Here is a 15186-nt window from a genome sequence, read left to right as displayed (position 1 = left end):
AAAAATCTTCCCTAAAAGCTTCACTGCAGTGTCAAAAACAAACAAGACAGGGTTAGGTGCAGTGGCTCACGCCTGTAATCCCAGCACTTTGGGAGGCCGAGGCGGGCGGATTGCCTGAGCTCAGGGGTTAGAGACCAGTCTGGGCAACAAGGTGAAACCCCACCTGTACTAAAATACAAAAAATTAGCCAGGCGTGCATGGCGGTGTGTGTCTGTAGTCCCAGCTACTCGGGAGGCTGAGGCAGGAGAATTGCTTGAATCCAGGAGGCAGGGGTTGCAGTGAGCCAAGATCGGGCCCCTGCACTCCAGCCTGGGCGACAGAGCAAGACTCTGTCTCCAAAAAAAAAGAAAAAAGAAACGAGATGGCAGTCCCACTGGGCTCCAAATTGGCCACTCAGAACTGTGTATTACAGAGCACAGTGTCTTTACTTCTGGCCTCCATGTCCATGTTATTACTGAATTCTTAACAGAAGTGAAAGAAACCCAGTGGGAATTAGCTGAGGTAAAAGGATGAATCTTGTTACTGTAGGATGGCAATAAGGCTCAGAGATGACAGAAACTGGGCACTCAAAGCAGCCATGGCTTTCTCCTTCTCTCATCTTGGCACGTCTTGCAGGTTCCTTCCAGCCCCTTAGGTTGGCTACTGTACAGGAGCTGGAAAGACGGCTGCCGGCAGTGCCAGGGTTCACGCTTACAACTCCTCTACCAATCATTCATCGTGGTCCAGCAAGGACCAGCAAGGATGGACCAAGGGCCCACTCCATGTCACGTACCACTCTAAGCACTAGAAACACTGCAGTGAACAATACAGATGCCAGCCCTACCCTCACGGAGCTCACTTGCTTTTTTAATTCTTCCTCTCAGTGGAAAGTAACTTGGTGCATGAAGTGGTCATAAGTGCTATGGAGAGAAATAAAGACAACGTAAGGGGGACTGGGAGTCCCAGGTATGTGTTGTAATGGGGGGTGGGGGAGGCTCTTTTATACTGGACAGACAGGGACTGACTTCTCCCAGCTTAGGTCCAATCCCCACCCCAATACAATCAACCATGGCCAGTGGAATGGGATGAGGTAAATGACAGTCCCCATTGGAACCATGGAATCGGGAGTGGATAGATGGGAAATGCTATTCTCAGTAACCGCCATGCTGGGCAGATTAAACAAGAGATCTTCACCCCGGCTTCTTGCTAATAACAATGACAAACTGGTGATCATGATGGTGAAGAATAGGGAAGCCATATCCCATCATGAAAACCTGTTGAAGGTTCCATACAGTTTTAGCTCAAACAGAAAAACAACTCAGGAGAAACATAACTTTAAATTTTGTGAGCAGCTTCCATAACTTTTCATGCTGATTTGCTGCTGTAACTCTAGGACAGAACTAGGAGTAATAAGTAAATGACACAGGGTTCAGAATTCAACTCAATGTAAGGAAGATATTTCCAAAAGGTCACACTTTTCAGCACTGGAGTTTGCTGCCTTGTAAATGAATAAAAATCCTCCCTAGATCAAACACATGCTATACAGCCTCCTGCTGGGGCACTACAGTGATAATAACCAATAACCATCATCTCCTAGGTCTTCTGAACTCAGAATCTGTGATGCTAAGTGAAAGCACAGGAGCTTTGTAACAAGAATATTCAGCTCAGTGACTTACTTTTACACTTTTTAGGGTTCTCAGATTGCTTCAACAATCTGATAAAGGCTATGAACTCCCTCTCCTAAAAAACACACCAGAATTTACCAGAATATAAAATTCGGGGGGGTCCGTAGACCCCCTAGAGCTAAGTTTAGAATCACTGCTTTAGATCTCTGACCCTTTTCCATTTACTTCCAGGAACAGAGTTGTGTTTCAGAGGTTCAAGATGGCCAAAAATCAGGTAAGTGGGGCACTGTCATGTTGCTTTTGCCAAAATGTTGACCTTCCTTTCAACAAGACAAAAGATGGAACAGGACCTGGAACAATGCCTGTCCTCAAAGAGACAGGCTTTCTTTCCTTCCCTTCTTGTCACTACATCTTAATAATTCCTTGTAATTGTTACTCAAGAAAACAATGACAAAGAATACCTTATCCTTTTCTGCTGTGTTTTTGTCCTGAATTCCTGCCTTTTCAAATCATGTTTTAAACCTTCATATCCTCTCTGGAATATTTTAACATGTCTTTTGTACTACCGTATTCCTCCCTTGTCTCTAACCTACAGCCCCAATCTATCTCTTCTATTATCAGCTTTTGTTTTTGGAGATGGAGTCTCTGTTGCTCAGGCTGGAGTGCAGTGGCGAGATGCCAGCTCACTGCAACCTCCGCCTTCCAGGTTCAAGCGACTCTCCTGCCTGGGCATCCCGAGTAGCTGGGATTACAGGCACGCACCACCGCACCCAGCTCATTTTGTATTTTTAGTAGAGACAGGGTCACACCATGTTAGCCAGGCTGGTGTCGAACTTCTGACCTCTGGTGATCCACCCACCTCGACCTCCCGAAGTGCTAGGATTATAGGCATGAGCCACCACGCCCAGCTGAGCTCTTTTATAAGAACAGCTATGTCAGTTGATAAACAGTATACCTTCTCCTCATAAAAGACTTCCTTCAACCAAACCAGAACATCAGGGCTGCTTTCCCTCTATAAACACCCCTCTGTGGCTGCCTATGATTGATTTTTCCTTGAGCGTACGCTCTATGCTTAAGGGAGTAACAACTTTATAACTTTTGCAAACTATGAACATCTTCATTTCCCTATCTTAACAAGGCTGATATCCCTAATTCCTCATTCCCTTTAACTTGGTTTTTAAAAATTTTACTGGTGACCCATTAGTGGGTTATGAAATCAATGTAGTATGTCATACCAGCACTTTTTAAATAATGAAATAGAATAGAAAGCATCAGAGCACATTCCAGAAAGCAATACTGTTTATGAACAACTTTTTCTTCAGTTGTGTATGTGTGCTATATCTTACTGTGGGTCAAGTCAAAAAAAGCTTAAAACCTATTGTAAAGTTTTCGTCATGCACATGGTCAACAATCATGAAATATTTATCAAATGAGCAAACGAAAATGGGCAGGCCCTTCGGATCCACGTGTACTTGCAAATTAAGTAAAAGATTTTTGTAGAAAACTCTCAGGCAGGTCATACAAGGCCCTTAAGTCACACTCCTAAGGTAGACACCACAAATGGGTATCTTAAGGTACCCAGACATGCTATTGTTAAAATGTTTTAAATCATTCATTTAAAACAACACATAAAATTTTCCCATTCAGATCTGGATATTAGGCTTCTTAAAAAAAAAATTGGGCAACTCTGAACCCATATGATAACAATTAGGTGGACCTGAGTACAACTCCCTATTTTAGAAAGCATATGTAAGCTCTACTGTAGATCTCCACTGTACATACTATCCAGTGTATGCACACTCTGCCACAGTCCCCACCACTCCCTATTACCTCCAGTAAGCAACTTCACTCACTTAGACTGTCTGAAAGACCTCTGTAATCACAGGCTCAGGCCTACAGGATATGTTCATGATTTGAATGTCTAGCCTTATATCAGCTTCCCTGACTTTCACCTTGCATTTCCCACAACCTACTTCATATCTTGAATTTCCTCACTAAAATAAGAGTATTACTGTCATCACAGAGATACTGTGACTGTTTAATAAGATGTGTAAATGAAAGTGACTAACACAAAGCAACGGCCCAATAACTGTGTACTAAAGCTATTCCCATGTCAACTAATGACAACACAATTTACCTAGACCAGTGGTTCCCAAATTTTGATGCATGCTGGAATTCCTTAGAGACTTTAAAAAACACTGATGCCTGGCTCCTAGGCCTCCAAAGTTCTAATTTATTGGTGTGAGGTGCAAGTGCACATCAGGACTTTTCAGAGCTTCCCAAGTGATTCAACTATAAAGCAAAATTAGAGAATCACTAACCTAGACAGTCACCCAGCCCAGAAATCTGAGTTATTACTGACTTCATCTTCTCCCACATCTTCCTCTAAAATGTCTCTCCAACAGGCACCTCCTCTAAGCTCCCAGGTCAGAATTAAGGTTTTTAACATCCCTCCTGGATTTCACTAGTACCTTCTCTAATTTCCTCCTCCATCCACTCTCTACTCCACTGCCAGTGTTATCTTTCTAAAGTAAACCTGATTTGTTCCTGCTTAAAAACACTGAAGTCAGGCCAGGCCCAGTGGCTCACGCCTGTAATCCCAACACTTTGGGAGGCCGAGGTGGGCAGATCACGGGATCAAAAGATTGAGATCATCCTGGCCACCATGCTGAAACTCCATCTCTACTAAAAATACAAAAATTAGCTAGGTGTGGTGGCACACACCTGTAGTCCCAGCTACTCAGGAGGCTGAGGCAGGAGAATCGCTTGAACCTGGGAGGTGGAAGTTCCAGTGAGCCGAGATTGCGCCACTGCACTCCAGCCTGGGCGGCTGAGCCAGACTCCATCTCAAAAAAAAAAAAGAAAGAAAACAAAAAAACAGTGAAGTCTAAACTTTTTAACTTGTCATGAAGACCTTTCACAATGAGGCCCTTACCTACTTTTCTAGCTTCATCTCCTGTCATACCCCAAAATATACCCTAGCACTTAACACTATCACACTGCTCTGTTATTTTGGCTTTCTGGACATTCTAAAGGCACAAATCCCATTCTGCCTTTGTTCATGCTGCACCCTTTGCTTCGAGTTCCATTTCTCTATGAAACAAAACCTTATTCATCCTTTAATGTTCACTCCAAAAATACCACCTTAATGAAGTATTTCTTATCCATACATTCAACTTTCCCTCCCTCTTCCATACTTCCATATAATTATAATAGTAACCTATCTAGTGCCAAGATCCTGTTGTGTGTTATTCTCATTTAAACCTCACAACACTACTTTGGGTAGGGTAGGTATTATACCCAATTTACAGATGGAGTAACTGAGACTTTGAGAATTTAAGTGACTATCAAGTCATCAACTTAGTAAGTGGTAGACATGATGGGCACTGCAGTCTGACTCTAGAGCTCATCTTCTTTACCACCACCTTACTCTGTCTCATTGTAAAATCTCTTCTAGAGGACATCTAACTTTATATTCAATTAAGAGAGAGACAGTAACTTGAGAGCAGAGCCCTGAGCATCTGTATTTGTCTCCTGAACACAGGATTAGGTTTTCAATAAGTGTACCCTCAATGGATGAACTAAATAATGAAATAGAACTCTTAAGAGTAATTCCACGTTCTTTAACCAAAATAGTACCCTGGTCTGATTTCAAACAATTAATTCAGCTCTTTATTATACCTAACACTTTCACCTGTTACTAAAAGCGTGAATAAATTAAAAGTATTCATTACTTAGTAAGTTCCTAGTTTTGGATGCAAATAAAACTCAGGATGGATAATTGGCTGATGACTTGAAATGCTGAACCATAAAACTGTCAAGTGACAGACTACAAATTTTTAAAAAGCATTAAACATATCTCTTGCTTGGGTTTATCTCTCACATCACTTATATGCATGGTCAGAATTTCAGAGAACCACTGAAAAATTAAAAGCTTTGCTTATATTACATTCTTGGTGTCATTTCATTTTTGCTGCAATATACTTTGCACATCCAGACCTGCAGGGGTGCAGGTGGTAGAAAAAAATCAAGCTGGTAGCTGTAATTTAAAAACTTTTGTTTTTTACAAGAAACTGTTTGCAGAGAGGAAGTAATGCATCTAGTACGGTCTGGCATATGCACATTCAGTAAAAACCTGATTAATGAGTAAATATCAAGACAAAACAAGTAAAGCATTTTGTGATTGTGATTCGTGTTAGTCTGTAAGAGAGGAAGTGGCTGGCAGCCAATATGAAGGACTGTTCCCTTTTCTAGTAGACATTCGGAGTGGACAACAATTATCCTAAAAGAAAATAACACACTTTCCCTTTTTTTGAGCATTTATTCTAAGTCTGACAACGCGTTCTGCTTGTCATTTAAGCCCACAGCATAGAAGCTATTGTTCTGCCCACTTTACAGGTAAAGAAGTCATGGCTCAGAGGCATTAAGTGACTCGCCCAAGGTCACCCTACTACAAGGCAGAGACGAAAATTCGAACCCGGACAGTCTGACTCCATAACTTGGGCTTGCAAGCCTCCAGCAGCGAGCAGCATTGTCTGTCGGGCCACAGCGCAACCCCAGGGCGCTAACGAGACACGAGAGGGAGCTTTAGGATTCCCCATCTCGCGGGGTGGGCAGGACAAGCATCAGTAACGAGGAAGACGAGGCCTGAGGAGGCTGGACCACTTTAACAAGGTCACAAAGAGTTTCTGCTCACGCTAGGGGAGCACCCCCAAATCCCTCGGGACCACTGGGGAGCCTGAGCCAGAGCTCCCCCCGCACAGAGGCGGCAGCGCCCAGCTCGCCGAGGTCAGGCCTGCGAGCAGGTCTGCTGGCCCCAGGGCGCCGGCCGCGGCGCCAAGACCGAAGTCAGGCCGCCGCATCTGCCCAGCGTTCCACCAAGGGCCTTACCGGGTCGCCAGAACTTCACCGGTCCCACGGGCGCAGCCATGTTGGGGTAAAAGGTCACGAGGCTAGCTCCACCCCACCGTCGCGCGCTAGGCCCCCAGGGCCCGGAGGGCGTGGCCCCCGAAGAGCCGCTGCCCAGACGGATCGCGCCGTGTGACGGCCACGCCCCCACAGCTACCGCCCCCGTCTGAGCCACGTGACCCACTTCCAGGCTCCGGCGAGCGCACCGGCCCCGCCCCCGAGCCCACGTGACCCTGCTCAGCCATTTTGGAGAAAAGGGCGCGCTCCTCCGCCTACCTCTTGAGCGTGGAGGGTAGATGCTTCAGGTGACCTTTTACGAGCGTGGCGTGTCCTGGATGGCGGCCGCACACTTAGGAAGAACGGGCTTTGGGAGAGGACCGCTGGCCCGAGAGTGGAACCTTGCACGCACTGGGCGTTGAAGCAGTGCTTTCTGGATTAAATACGAAATACTGATGTCACAAGCTACCTCAACTTGTCGACTTCTGTTTTATTCTCAATTTCAAATTGAAGGGTAATAATAGGAACTACCTCGTGGGTTGTATTTGTCAGTAAATATTGCGCGCCTGCTGTGGGCCCAGGTAGTGCGGCACAGTGCCCCAAATAAAACAATGCGAAATGATATGGAAGTCTTCAGGGACCTTGAGGGCAAAACGGAAAAACGGACTGGGGGTGGGGTGGAGCGAATGGGTTGGCAGAAGAGACTGAAAATGGGTAGATCAATTAAGGTAGTCCACCAACTCAGTGCTTCCTCCAATTTGATACCCTTGAGTCAAATGCTTGTTAAAAACACAGATTCTAGGCCTTGATCCAATTCTGAATCGATGTCCTGGAGCATGGCTTGGGAACCTGCATTTTGAGAAGCTCCTGAATTCTTCAGATTAACAAATTTGGGAAAGATTACACTAATCCATCAGACGAAAGGTGAGGTCAAAGAAAAAGAAATTACAGTAATCCAAAGGAGCGCTAAGAAGGGGTGATGAGCTCAAGTGGAGGAAATAACTTTCTAGGTAGGCAACTAATTGGAAGGAAGTGAGAGGCTTCAGAATCTATGCATTTTTAAAGCTGTGAAGAAAATTCTGAATTCTTTGAAAGAAGTGGCATCATTATGGCAAGAGCAGGGGCTTTTGTGGACAACCAGTCCAGACTTGGAATCGTAACTTTGCCATTTCCTAGCTCCTAGCTGTCATTTAATTTTAGTTGTAAAATGAGGTTTAAAGAGGTATTACATGAGATAACATGTAAAGTACCTAACAGTGCAAAACATAGCAGGCACTGAATCAATGTTAGCTCTCATTACCTCAACTCAGAGCAAATCCACCAGGGGGAAAAAAATCTGAATTTACCTGCATAGGTTCATGTAAGAATCTTCTTTGATTTATTTTTATAGTAATTAATGTAGGGACTCAATATCTGTTAGTCCCTCGGCCTAGAATTCTCCATCCATCCTTTAAATTATCTTTATCCCTTAAAGGGCTAGCTCTAAATTATCTATCCAACTTAAACATTCCCCCTTGTAGTCTAGGAACTGTATTCTCACTTTTGTGAGAAAAGTGACCTGTAGTTTAGTTGCCTGTAGTTTACCTGCCGCCACTATTACACAGGGAACTTACTGAGGACGAGGACCATGTCACATTCACATTCGTGGCCCAGTAACAAGTGCCTATTGAGTGTAGATAAACATCATGCTTTAGGCTTAGTTTTAGTTGATCTGTAGTTTACCTGCCGCCACTATTACACAGGGAACTTACTGAGGACGAGGACCATGTCACATTCACATTCGTAGCCCAGTAACAAGTGCCTATTGAGTGTAGATAAACATCATGCTTTAGGCTTAGTTTTAGTTGATCTGTAGTTTACCTGCCGCCACTATTACACAGGGAACTTACTGAAGACAAGGACCATGTCAGCATTCACATTCACATTCACATTCGTAGCCCAATAACAGTGCCTATTGAGTAATGTATAGATAAACATCATGCTTTAGGCTTAGTTTTAGTTGATCTGTGGTTTACCTGCCGCCACTATTACACAGGGAACTTACTGAGGACGAGGACCATGGCACATTCACATTCGTAGCCCAGTAGCAGTGCCTATTGAGTAATATACAGATAAACATCATGCTTTAGGCTTAGTTTTAGTTCTTCATGACATTGATTTTTCCTTGTTTTATTTTTGTCTTATTTTACTAACAGCCCAAATACGGAAACCAAGGTTTATACATGAATATAAGGCAAAATGAAATAAATGCCACTTTTAAGATTATTTCATGGCCTGGCACGGTGGCTCACACCTGTAATCCCAGCACTTTGGGAGACTGAGGCAGGCAGATCAACTGAGGTAAGAGTTCGAGACCAGCCTGGCCAACATGGCGAAATTCTGTCTCTACTAAAAATACAAAAAAATTAGCCGGGTGTGGTAGTAGTCACCTGTAATCCCAGCCAGTTGGGAAGGTGAGGCAGGAGAATCCCTTGAACCCGGAAGGCAGAGGTTGCAATGAGCAGAGATCCGCCACTGCACTCCAGCCTGGGCGACAGAGTGAGACTCTATCTCAAAAAATAGAAAAAAAAATAAATAAAATAACTTATCTATTTTATCTATTACTCATATAATGAAACCTTCCTGTTTATGAAGAGACAGTAAATCGGCCATGCCTGTATTATTGGATCATAATCTTTTTTCTTTTTTAGATGGAGTCTTGCTCTGTCGCCCAGGCTGGCAAGCAATGGCGAGATCTCATCTCACTGCAACCTCCACCCACCGGGCTCAAGCGATTCTCCTGCCTCAGCCTCCCTAGTAGCTGGGACTACAGGCACACGCCACCATGCCCGGCTAATTTTTGTATTTTTAGTAGAGACAGTTTCCCCATGTTGGTCAGGCTGGTCTCATGGATCATAATCTTAAAGCTGGAGGAGACCATACTTAACACCTAGCCTGAATTTCTTGTCTTATAGGAAACTGAGGTACATAGAAGTTAAAAGGACTTGGTCAGAATCAATGAGTTAATTTAGTATCAGAACTAAAACTAGAACTCGGGCTTTCTAATTCCCAGGCCAGTGTTTGCTCAACTACATGGGCCACTTAAAATCATTAGAGCTACACTCTCCTGGAAGAAAATTAGTTCATCTGCCTTAGAAAGTTCTCAAAGTCCAACTCTCCCCAAGGGGTTATTTTGCCTACACAGACTACTGTTAGAGAAAATACCTAAGTAATAACCTGCATGTTGATGTTGTGGTTTTATTTCCACAAACTAGGAATGGTCTCAACAGATTCTTAGTCTTCCTAATTAACTATTTTCAGAAAGAATGGGCTAAAATAACTGCTCTGAAATTAAAACTGATATTTCTTGAGATGGCATCCAGAATTTATTTAGTTGATTGCCAACAATTCCATAAAAGTCTAATCATTTTGTTACATAAAGGTGTATTTTGCAACTTCCAAATGATAAGCTTTCCAGAAAGATAATGTTCCTCAAAATCGTGTTACAATATGGAAGTTTTTCTGTGCCTATGATAAAGGGTATTTTTTGCTTTGAATTTCCAGACTAAACCTATTGACCATGTTCAGGAAGGCATAGAATTTAGGGTTTTCATTTTTGTACCAGTTAAGACTTTTATGGATATAAGTGATAGAAAACCCAACCCAACCTCTCTTAAGCAGAAATGGCTCATATAAACTAAAAAGTCTGGCTGGGCACAGTGGCTCACACCTATAATCCCAGCACTTTGGGAGGCTGAGGGGGGTGGATCACCTGAGGTCAGGAGTTTGAGACCATCCTGGCCAACATGGTGAAAGCCCGTCTCTACTAATAATACCAAAAAAATTTGCCAGGCATGGTGGTGCACACCTGTAATCCCAGCTACTCAGGAGGCTGAGGCTGGAGAATCGCTTGAACCTGGGAGTCAGAAGTTGCAGTAAGCTGAGATCACACCATTGCTCTCCAGCCTGGGTGACAAGAGTGAAACTCTGCCTCCAAAAAAAATAAATAAATAAAAATAAAATGAAAAGTCCAAGAGTAGTTCTGACTTGAGACACAGCTGCATCAGGATACATACCACATAACCAGGATTCTTTCTGATCATATTGATCCACGTTCTGCTGATTCAGGCGTAACGTGGTAACAAAGTGGCCATGCCAGTTTTAGCCACCACATCCTCTTAAGCATTAAACCTCTTTCCAAAATTCCTTGGCAACGTATTCCTGACAGGCCATGTATCCATCCCTAAATCAACCACTAAGCCCAGGAATCTAATGTACTAATGGACTTAGGCCTTGGTCCCATGTTCCACATCCAGGGTCGGGTTAGGTCAGCTTCAGCAGAAACACATGGACTGAAAGCTGGGAACAGAACGGTTCCTCAGAGGGAAATCTGAGCGTGAGATTACCAGAGGATGAATGATTGAATGAATGAAGCAAAAATAATAGATGTCCATTACAACCATCCATGTATCAACCCGCTACAACTGTTAGCTTCCTAAGAGAAACGCTAACTGCCCTTTGGTTGCCACCATCAAGCTAGACAACAGGCAGCCATCCCCAGACTGAAAAGTGGTGGTCCTTTACAGAATTGCTGTACTAAATTGCATTATATCAGGATTTTCCCAAGAGTCTAAGGTGCAGTCTTCCACAACTTGCTGTAACATATGTAAACCTGTCTGGTTTGTTGGTTTGCACACAAATGATCACGTTCACACAGTTATTAGCATAAGCAAAAGTGCTGACGCAGCTTCAAAGATTTGGGTACAGTTGTGGAAAGATCCACTGGAAAGGATTCCGCAGCCAGAGGAGCCTCTGTTTCTTTGGCCTGAGGGACACACAATTCAATGAAGTTGGGTGAACTGGGGACAGCCTCCTTAGGTCTGCGAGGTGCTTTCTATATAGGATGCCTATATACTTTATAGTTCAAACTGGGACACTTTTGAGAATAAAAGGAGGTGTTAACCAGATGGGACTTGGGGATAAGAGGCATCAACTGGAACTCTGCCAGGCAAACTGGGGCATACATCTAGGTGTGTGTGTAAACTTAGCCTAACAATGTAGATCTAAACATATTCAACATAAGGTATGTATTCCATGCTCACAGAATACACCTGAATACATTCACCTCATTTACTGCTTCAGACAACTGCCTCTGCAGAGTTCAGGGTCCGGGCATGCCCCAGAGTATCTGTCATTGTTTATTATCGGAATGTGATTACCAGAATGTCATTTTTATAAGTATCGTTTTTATAAAAAGATCCTTGAAAGAAATTATCTTAGTGCCTGGAATAATTTTGTTGTTTTTGAGATAGGGTCTCACTCTATCACCCAGGCTGGAGGGCAGTGGTGCAATCACAGCTTACTACAGCCTCGTCCTTTCTGGCTCAAGCCACCCTCCCGCCTCAGCCCTCCAAATACCTAGGACAACAGGCATATGCCACCGTGGGGAATAACTGTCCTTTCTGTATCTGGATTTACTTTAATCTTAAGGACACTGCGAATGGTGTATCTGACCAGGCTTCTCTGTATTCACTATTGGAAAGCTTAAACGTGTGGCCTCATGAAGTAGGTGTGTATGTCATGGCGGGCTCTTCAAGCCTCATTCCAGACTCCACTTTTTATCCCTCACCCTTGGGTTTCCTTCATGTAACTTTTCATTTACACGACCTTGTACCCTAGCTTTTCTTGTTAGTCGCTTTAAGTCCCATAAGTAAACGACAGATACTCCCCAGCCCAACTGCCTACAGAGGTGGGGTGGCCGGCCACCTCTTCAGTTGATTCCTTTAATAGGAGAATGTCAAGCCTGCATGGATCAACCTCTAATTCAAACAAACCATCAGGGGGAGAAAAAAATTAGACAACTGAATTTAAACACTGAATATTTATTTGATAAGTTTGTATCAAAGTTGTTTAGGTGTGACAGTGGTAAAGTGGTTTTCTTTTTTGTTGTTGTTTTGAAACAGAGTCTCACTGTCACCCAGGATGGAGTGCAGTGGCGCAATCTTGGCTCACCACAACCTCCACCTCCCGGGTTCACGCCATTCTCCTGCCTCAGCCTCCCGAATAGCTGGGACTACAGGCGCACACCACCATGCCCGGCTAATTTTTGTATTTTTAGTAGAGACGGGGTTTCACTATGTTGGCCAGGCTGGTGTCAAACTCCTGACCTCGTGATCCACCCGCCTTGGCCTCCCAAAGTGCTGGGATTATAGGCATGAGCCACCGCGCCTGGCCATGATTATGTTTTCTAAAACAGTTATCTTTTAGATATATATGCTGAAATATTCACAGCTAAGTCTGCGATGGCCAAATCTGACAGTAGACAGAGGGATATAATTTTCTCCCAGGGAGGAATAACAAATATTTTTGAACTACATAGGCTGCCACACTCATACCCCGCTCCCCTGGGAGTGAAACCAGTAATCAGCATTTTAAATGGAAGCACCCAAGCACCCCAAGACTGATGCAGGTGGTCCTCAGATCTCACTTTGAAAAACTCTGCCATATAAATGATACTTTCTGGACTCAACTCCAGAAAGACTGCTTACTTTGAGAGACTGGGTCATTTTCTTAGGACTCCATGTATCTCTTGCTCTTATTTCTTTTTTTTTTGTCTTTTTTTTTTTTTTTTGAGACGGAGTCTCGCTCTGTCGCCCAGGCTGGAGTGCAGTGGCGGGATCTCGGCTCACTGCAAGCTCCGCCTCCCGGGTTCACGCCATTCTCCTGCCTCAGCCTCCCAAGTAGCTGGGACTACAGGCGCCCGCCACTACGCCCGGCTAATTTTTTGTATTTTTAGTAGAGACGGGGTTTCACCGTTTTAGCCGGGATGGTCTCGATCTCCTGACCTCGTGATCCGCCCGCCTCGGCCTCCCAAAGTGCTGGGATTACAGGCGTGAGCCACCGCGCCCGGCCTTTTTTCTTCTTCTTCTTTTTTTTTTTTTTTTTTTTTTTTTTTGAGACGGAGTCTCACTCTTTCGCCCAAGCTGGACTGCAGTGGCGCTATCCCGGCTCACTGCAAGCTCCGCCTCTTGGGTTCATGCCATTCTCCTGCCTCAGCCTCCCGAGTAGCTGGGACTACAGGCGCCCACCACCACGCCCGGCTAATTTTTTGTATTTTTTTAGTAGAGACGGGGTTTCACCGTGTTAGCCAGGATGGTCTCGATCTCCTGACCTCGTGATCCGCCCGCCTCGGCCTCCCAAAGTGCTGGGATTACAGGCGTGAGCCACCGCGCCCGGCTCTTGCTCTTATTTCTAATTGTTGGCCACACTTTCAGAGAATAATGGTTTTGAGTCCTGCTCCACAAAAAGAGCACTCTGTGGTAGGTAGTTTGTGGTAAGCCATATACCTGCCCTGCTCTGAGAAATTCACTGTGATCATTACTTCAGAGTTCTGAGTAGTCCTGCATTAAAGAACTTTGTTTACATTTCTTTGGCCCAGTTTCTCACACTAAACACAGAACCTTTGTTATGTCATCCTATTAACAGTTCCATAGAACATTCAGTTAAAATTTCAAACTAAATTAAAATACATTATCACAGGCTGAATGCAGTAGCTCATGCCTGTAATCCCGGCACTTTGAGGGGCTGAGGCAAGAGGATCACTTGAGCCCAGGAGTTTAAGAGCAGCCTAGGCACCATAGTGAGACCCTGCCTTTACAAAAAAATAGTGAGCTGTGATTGTGCCACTGCACTCCAGCCTGAGCAATAGAACGAGACTGCTTCAAAAACAAACAAAAAGAAGTATCACAGATTAGGACTTTGTACTTACTTTTTTTTGTTGTACTTTGCTTTTTTTGCTGTTTTGTTTTTGTTTTGTTTTTTTTGAGACAGAGTTTGGCTCTTGTTGCCCAGGCTGGAGTGCAATAGCGTGATCTCGGCTCACCACAACCTCCGCCTCCCAGGTTCAAGCAATTCTCCTGCCTCAGCCTCCCGAGTAGCTAGGATTAGGGGCATGCACCACCACACCCAGCTAATTTTGTATTTTTAATAGAGACAGGGTTTCTCCATGTTGAGGCTGGTCTCAAACTGCTGACCTCAGGTGATCCGCCCACCTCAGCCTCCCAAAGTGCTGGGATTACAGGCGTGAACCACCGCGCCCAGCCTGTACTTAACGTTTGTTAATGAGGCTGTTTTAGTTTTCCATTCACCATTGCAGTAACTGCCATTTCTCAAGGTACACTCTCTCCTGCTTCCATACTCCGTGTAGAGAAATAGTCATGTAACAGAGTACTGCACTTAGAATCTAGAAACCTGTGTTTAAATTCTTGCATCACCATTTACAAGCCATGTCATCTTGAATATGCTACTTAATCAGTGCCTCAGTTTCATCTGAAAATTGGAAATAACAGCTACCTAACCTGCATAGCTCTCTGCTACATTGCTGCAAAGATCAAAGATGGCATATATGAAGTGACTTAAGTCTGTAAGATGATTTCAAATAACAATATGTTTACTCGAGGCTTAGCTCAGAGTTGTTTCTAAGCAGACATGGATCAATTTCCTTCCTTTCCTTTTCTTTATAGCCACAGATTACAGCACTAACCCAGCAAATAGCCTGACCATCATAAGGAAGTCCTGGCACACGCGTGAGTGTAGGGACACTCATGATACAAGTGCATCAGCATTTTATGTGGCAGACACCTTCCCCTGTTATAGATCTTTTTTGCTGTAGCTAAGTCAGGAGAGGGAGGAAGGCATC

At 44.1% G+C, this 15186-nt stretch overlaps 1 protein-coding gene across 10 annotated transcripts in view, besides 2 other annotated features; it reads right to left on the bottom strand.

Annotated features, from left to right (window-relative positions):
- Window positions 1-6558, bottom strand: part of DHX35 (DEAH-box helicase 35) — a 77378-nt gene extending 70820 nt beyond the window's left edge. For all 10 annotated transcript variants that reach the window (NR_033905.2, XR_007067474.1, XR_007067475.1 and 7 more), the window contains exon 1: window positions 6495-6558. Coding sequence is in view for 7 of the 10 variants with exons in the window: in NM_021931.4 (NP_068750.2) it covers window positions 6495-6534 (40 nt within the window). In the remaining 3 variants the exon portion in view is untranslated. The remainder of the gene's footprint in view (window positions 1-6494) is intronic.
- Window positions 6224-6533: an enhancer, noted in NCBI's record as "active region_17877". NCBI's record gives its function as "activates an Ori minimal core promoter by ATAC-STARR-seq in GM12878 lymphoblastoid cells {active_cell/tissue: GM12878}" and the evidence as "EXISTENCE:reporter gene assay evidence [ECO:0000049][PMID:35858748]".
- Window positions 6574-6693: a silencer, noted in NCBI's record as "silent region_12908". NCBI's record gives its function as "represses an Ori minimal core promoter by ATAC-STARR-seq in GM12878 lymphoblastoid cells {active_cell/tissue: GM12878}" and the evidence as "EXISTENCE:reporter gene assay evidence [ECO:0000049][PMID:35858748]".

This window comes from Homo sapiens, chromosome 20, assembly GCF_000001405.40.
Source record: "Homo sapiens chromosome 20, GRCh38.p14 Primary Assembly".
NCBI classification, from domain to species: domain Eukaryota; kingdom Metazoa; phylum Chordata; class Mammalia; order Primates; family Hominidae; genus Homo; species Homo sapiens.
Note: the sequence above shows the minus strand (reverse complement) of the source record. Positions and strands in the feature narration are given on the sequence as shown.